Source organism: Homo sapiens, chromosome 16, assembly GCF_000001405.40.
Source record: "Homo sapiens chromosome 16, GRCh38.p14 Primary Assembly".
Lineage (NCBI taxonomy): Eukaryota > Metazoa > Chordata > Mammalia > Primates > Hominidae > Homo > Homo sapiens.
The window spans coordinates 33,044,852-33,052,333 of record NC_000016.10 but is presented as its reverse complement, the minus strand read 5'-3'; positions in this window follow the sequence as shown (position 1 = coordinate 33,052,333).

Here is a 7,482-nt window from a genome sequence, read left to right as displayed (position 1 = left end):
GAGTGCACTGGCACAATCTCCGCTCACTGCAAGCTCCATCTCCCGGCTTCATGCCATTTTTCTTCTTCAGCTTCCCGAGTAGCTGGGACTACAGGCGCCTGCCATCACGCCTGGCTCATTTTTTGTATTTTTAGTACAAACGGGGTTTCACTGTGTTAGCCAGGATGGTCTCGATCTCCTGGCCTCGTAATACGCCCGCCTTGGCCTCCCAAAGTGCTGAGATTACAGGTGTGAGCCATCGTGCCCGGCCATTATACACATGTTATTTAATAAACAATTTATGATAAAGAGAAAAAATGCATTTTTACTGTCTTTTATAATGTCAATATTACCTATACCAGTGCTTTTTTAAAAATGTGGATTCAAGTGACTGTCTTCTGTAACTTGCTTTTAGCCTTAGGAATTTATTTTAGAGATTTTTTTAATATAGTAGGTCTGCCAGCAACAACGTCAGTTAATATTTCTGTTTATCTGGGTAAGTCTCTGTGTTATCTTCATTTTTGAAAAATAATTGCTGGATAAGGAATTCGTGGCTGAGAGTTTTTTTTTCCTTTGCCTCTTTTGAATATATTATTCTACTGCCTCTTGCTTCCATTGTTTCTCTTAAGTCAGCTGTTAATCTTACAAAACATAGGTGCTCAAAAAATAAACATGTGCATGAATATTTACAGCAGTAATATTCATACAGTCAAAAAGTGGAAACAATCCATATGCTTGTTGACTCATAAATGGACGCCCAATTTTCAGCTATAACAAAGAATGAAGTACTTATATATGGTATAATATTGGTGAAATTTGAAAGCATTCTGTTAAGTGCACAAAAGGACAAATATTACTTGATTTTATTCACATGAAACATCAGGAATTGGCAAATCAATTGGGATATAAATCAGATTAGTGGTCATTAGGGCTCAGGGAAGCAGATTAGGGTGTAACAACTTTATGCATAATGGGTTTTTGGAAGGGACATGATGAAATTGCCCTGGAACATTGTGAATATGCTAAAAGCAAGTGCACTGTATGCTTTAAAATGGTGGTTGTTAATTTTATATTATGTGATTTTTACCTTAAAAAACAAAAAAGAGAAAATAGCCTTACTCTATACATAATAAACTCCAGATATGTTACAAATTTACATGTGAAATCCAAAATACTATAATATTTAAGGAATAGCTAAGTAGAATAACACTGAAATTTAACATAATGAAACATTTCCTTAGAAAAGAAAAAAGCACAGTAATTAAAAAGGGAAATATATTTAATATTTTTCTCTCCATTAGGCATGCCATTAACTGAGTAAAAAATCAAGCTGCAATTATGTAAACTACATTTTCTAAAACCATAAAGAAAAGAAGAAATAAAAAGGTATTTGGGAAAAAATCCAAAGGTACAGTCAACTACACACAAAAAGCTTAGTCTCATTAATCATTATGAAAATGCAAATGGTAACTGAAAGAAGATAAAACTACAATTCAAAGAGAAACCCTAAAATTTCAACCCCCCAAAAAGTCTGGGTTTTGGAGATCTGGGATGGAATAGGGTTCCTAACCTGACAACAATGAAAGACCCAAACTAACTTCAAAGTCATGACTTTATTTTTATAGCAACGAGGTTGCCAAGAACTGAGTCAAAATGTGAGGGAAAACAAGCACCTGCAAGGAGAAAGAGGACGGATGCACTTACATAGGACAGATGCAAATAGACACCACTATGACAAGTAAAGCTGGAATAATCAATAAATTCCTAAAGGCAAAGTGGGGCTGGTGAGATTGGGAGACGGCTGACAGCTGCAGAAGTTGGGAAAGATCCATCATCTTGAAAACTTTTTCCCCACAAACCCACTGCGATCTCTCAAGCAATTGGTAAGGAATCCAAGAGAGTCTGTATATGACACAGATCAGGGAGAGCAGAACACTTGGGAGGTGACCGGGTCTTGGGGGCCGAGCCCTTATGAATGGGATTAGTGCCTTTATAAAAGAAGCTCAATGGAGTTGTTGTGTGCCTTCCACTATGTGAGGACATAGAAAGCAGGCACCACCTATGAACCATGAAATGGGCTCTCATCAACACTGAATTTGTGAGCATCTTGACCTGAGATCTTACAGCCTCAAGAAGTGTGAAAAAAGAAATATCTGTTGTTTTTTAATCACCCGGTTTATGTTATTTTGTTATAAGAGTCCAAATAGAGCAAGATATTCCACTTAATATGTAGGGGAAGGCAACAAAAACTGCCACACTTAGGATCCTCCTGATGCTGGGAGTATGAAAACAGGAAAAACAAAACAAAACTGCTCTTGAAGGTGAAGGAGGAATATCACTGAGCTCACCAACACAGCCAGGAAAAGAACGGAAGTGTGAGAAGGCTACATTCCTGAGACCCTGAGAAAAAGTACCTGCATAAGACTGAGATGAAATTACCTACTCTAGTTATGATTGAAATCCCAAAAAGAAAAGAGGGAAAAATAATGGAGCAAAAGAAATATTTTTCAAAATAACTGCCAAAAATATTCTAAAAGAAGTGACAGAAAATCAAACTTCAAATATAGGAAACTCAGAGAATGTCAAATAGAACCAAAAGAAATAAGAATCACATCTTGAAAAATCTTTAAAAAATCAAGTCTAAATTTTATATCTTGCTCCAAATATATAGAGATATAAAGAGGTTATCAAGATATGGAGAAAGCCATATCATGGAAACACTAAAATAAGGCTGTGGAAGGACTACATTGATATTAGACACAACAGAGTTCGGAACAAGAAATAGTATCAGAGATGAGAGATAATAGATAATAGAATCATCAATTCTCAAGAAGATGTAAACATCCTACTAATTAGGGTAAGCAGCTAACAACAGAACCTCCAAATACATGAGGTAAAATAGGAAAGAAATAAAAGGTGAACTAGAAAAATCCGAAACTATATTTGCCGACATCAACACTTTTGTCTTAGAAATGGAAAGACTAGGCACTAACTCAGTAATCATGTGGAAGATAAGAACAACAATATCACCAAAAAGACATCCAATCTTCAATGGCAGATACTCTTTCCTTTCAAGTGAAAAAAAAAACAGTATGGCATATTCTCTAACAAACCCAGAATTTCTAATATTTGCGTTTTTCCTTCTTTCTTTCCATCTTCCTTTCTCTTCTCTTCCCTTCCCTTGCCTTCCTCCTTCCTTTCTTCTTTTCCTCTTCCTTTTCTTTTCTTTTTTCTTTACCTTTCTTTCTTTTCTTTTTTCTCCTTCCTTCCTTCTTTCCTTTCTTTCTTTCCTATTATTCTTCCTTCCCTCCTCCCTCCCTTCCTTTCTCCCTCCCTTTTCTTCCTTCCTTTCTCATATTCTTTCTTTCTTTCTCGCCTTCTTGCTTTCTTTCCTTTTTTCTCCCTTCCTCCCGCCCTCCTTTTCTTCCTTCCTCCCTCCCTTCCTTTCCTCTTTTTCCTTCCTTCCTTCGCCTCTTTATTTTCTTTGTTTCTGTGCCTTCCTCCCTTTTACCATTCTCTCTTCCTCCTTTCCTTCCTCCCTTCTTTCTTTCTTTCTCTCTTTCTTTCTCTTTCTTTCCTTCTTTCTTTCTTGTGTTCATGCTTTCTTTTTTCTCCCCTCCTGCCTTTCTCCCTTCCTCCCTCCCTCCCTTCCTTCCCTCATTTCCTCCTTTTCTTTCTTCTTTCTTTAGTTCCTTCCTTCCTTCTTTCCTTCCTTCTTTTTCTTTCTTTGTTTTCTTTTCTTTCTTTCTCTTTACTACAAATATTATTATTTTAAAAAAATTAAGACAGGGAGACAGAAAAATAAAGAACGCTTTAATCTGCAGGTAAACAGATTATGTCTGCTGTAGGCCAAAGAATGGCCTCCCAAAAATTTTCATGTCCTAATTCCCAGAGTCTAACATACAAATATGTTAGGTTGCACGGCAGTGTGAAATTAGATTTCGAGTGAAATTAAGGTTGCGGAAAAATGATAGAGAGATTGTCTTAAATGGGTGGGATCAATGAAATCACAAACTTCCTTATAAGTGAAAGAAGAAGACAGAAGAAAGGCAACCTTGGAGGTGGTGGCATGAGAAATTACTCAATATCACTGATTTTTAAGATACAAGAATGAGGACCCAGCGCGGTGGCTCTCGCCTAATCCCAGCACTTTGGGAGGCTGGGGTGGGTTTATCACGAGGTCAGGAGATTGAGACCATCCTGGCTAACATGGTGAAAGCCCATCCCTACTAAAAATACAAAAAATTAACTGGGCGTGGTGGCAAGTGCCTGTAGTCCAAGCTACTCAGGAAGCTGAGGCAGAAGGATCACTTGAACCTGGGAGGCAGAGGTTGCAGTGAGCTGAGATCGTGCCACTGCACTCCAGCCTGGGTGACAGAAGGAGACTCCATCCCCCCCACAAAAAAAAGGAAACATAGGATCTAAGAATGAGGTCATGTTTCAAGGAATAAAGGTGGCTGGCCTCTGGATGCTGAAAAAAATCAAGTAATAGATTCTGCCAAATAGCCCTCAGAAAAACTGCAGCCCTGCCGAAAACTTGATGTTAGCCCTGTGAGTTTAATTTAAGGCTTCTGAAATACAGAACTGTAGGATAAACGGTCACTTTATTGTAAGATATGAAGTTTATGGTAATTGGTTACAGCAGCAAGAGGAAGTTTATATTGTAATTGTATCATGAAAATGAGAACCATAATGTACAACTGCTTTTAATACTGCACTTGGATGTTTGAAATCACGTACATGGAAATGATCTCTATGTGCATGAGGGAGGATAGCAAATTGATGCCAAAATAATGCAAATGCAAATCTTACACTCATTTCTATGTAGGTTTCATTTAATCTTTGAAATTAAAATGAAATTAAAAGATTGTGATCTTTTGATGAAATTAGACTAAAATGAACAATAACAAAATAAGAACTTACTTATATTCTTTATATGGTCAATAAAGAAGTGATAGTGGAAAAAAACAAGATCAAATGAAAGTGATGATGTAGGAAGTTGGAAAGATAGCTGAAACTACAAAATGGTAATAACCAGTGAACCCTTAGACACACTGATTGATGAACTTCAGCTTTTGGCCTGGTGAGATAAAATGAGAGCAGCTGAGGTTTGCCAATTTGTAATCTCCTTGTGGAAAAACAGGGGAAAACACATCTCAGCCTAATAAGATTTATCTACTAAAGAGTCTAGACTTGATCCATTTGTCCGTGTAATTCAAAAGCTAATTCAAATACTGATTTGATGTATTGTGTGAACAACCATTGCTGATTATCATCGCATACCTGGCATTCTCTTGTATCTGATATCTAAAAGATTTGGTAATTCCTGGACTTTCTCTTTTCAAACCCAGTACGGTTTAATTTCAGTCTTAGAACAGTTGTCTTTGAGAAATTCTTCCCTCTACTGCATCTGTGAATGGGCATAGCATGGTTACATACATACTGTCACTCCATAGAACATTTGTTAAATTAAAGCCAAAGTTTAAAGCAAGAGCTTTAACTTACAGGTTTTACTAATGGTTTCCTCCCCAATAGCCACAACAATATTGATACCCTCACACCTTTTAACATAAAGCTTGGTGTTGTCTATTTTTCAGGTGCTGTCATCTATATGATCTCAGTATTTTAAACATCAGCTTCCAGCCCATATGGTGGTTCATGCTTGTAATATCAGCTGTTGAAGAGGCTGAAATGAGAGGATTCCTTGAGCCCAGGAGTTCACAAGCAACCTGGGCAACATAGCAAGACCCAGTCTCTATCAAAATTAAAAAAAAAAAAAAGTGTTCCTATTTCTCCACATCCTCTCCAGCACCTGTTGTTTCATGACGTTTTAATGATTGCCATTCTAACTGGTGTGAGATGGTATCTCATGTGGTTTTGATTTGCATTTCTCTGATGGCCAGTGATGATGAGCATTTTTTCATGTGTTTTTTGGCTGCATAAATGTCTTCTTTTGAGAAGTGTCTGTTCATGTCCTTCACCCACTTTTTGATGAGGTTGTTTGTTTTTTTCTTGTACATTTGTTTGAGTTCATTGTAGATTCTGCATATTAGCCCTTTGTCACATGAGTAGGTTGCAAAAATTTTCTCCCATTTTGTAGGTTGCCTGTTCACTCTGATGGTAGTTTCTTTTGCTGTGCAGAAGCTCTTTAGTTTAATTAGATCCCATTTGTCAATTTTGTCTTTTGTTGCCATTGCTTTTGGTGTCTTAGACATGAAGTCCTTGCACATGCCTATGTCCTGAATGGTAATGCCTAGGTTTTCTTCTAGGGTTTTTATGGTTTTAGGTCTAACGTTTAAGTCTTTCATCCATCTTGAATTGATTTTTGTATAAGGTGTAAGGAAGGGATCCAGTTTCAGCTTTATACATATGGATAGCCAGTTTTCCCAGCACCATTTATTAAATAGGGAATCCTTTCCCCATTGCTTGTTTTTCTCACTGTTGGTGGGACTGTAAACTAGTTCAAGCATTGTGGAAGTCAGTGTGGCGATTCCTCAGGGATCTAGAACTGGAAATACCATTTGACCCAGCCATCCCATTACTGGGTATATACCCAAAGGACTATAAATCATGCTGCTATGAAGACACATGCACACGTATGTTTATTGCGGCATTATTCACAATAGCAAAGACTTGGAACCAACCCAAATGTCCAACAATGATAGACTGGATTAAGAAAATGTGGCACATATACACCATGGATTACTGTGCATCCATAAAAAATGATGAGTCCATGTCCTTTGTAGGGACATGGATGAAATTGAAAATCATCATTCTCAGTAAACTATCACAAGAACAAAAAACCAAACACCGCATATTCTCACTCATAGGTGGGAATTGAACAATGAGATCACATGGACACAGGAAGGGGAATATCACACTCTGGGGACTGTTGTGGGGTGGGAGAGGGTGGAGGGAGATCATTGGGAGATATAACTAATGCTAGACGACGAGTTAGTGGGTGCAGCGCACCAGCATGGCACATGTATACATATGTAACTAACCTGCACAATGTGCACATGTACCCTAAAACTTAAAGTATAATAAAAAAAAAAGTGGGCATGGTGATGTGCACCTGTTATCCTAGCTATTTGGGAGGCCAAGGTGGAAGGATTGCTAGAGCTTGGGAGGCTGAGGCTGCAGTGAGCAGTGATTGCACCACTGCACTCCAGCCTGGGCAACAAAGCAAGACCCTATCTCAAAAAATATATATTATAAAAATAAAAATCAGCTCTCATTGATTTCTATGTAAATATGCTCAGGTAATGTCCATATAGACATAAATAATAATATTTCTGACAATGGGTCCATATGATCTTCAAAATGTAAAATGCCTATCTGTGTAATTGACTGGTTAGTCTCATTAATGAATATAGATTCAATTCCACTTTCTTGTTCTAGATAGATTATATAATCTAGCTTTTCATTTCACTTATTTACTGATAACAACAGGAAGAATGACAAGATATCTATTTTGCAAAATTACTCTGGTAGGAGTAAAGA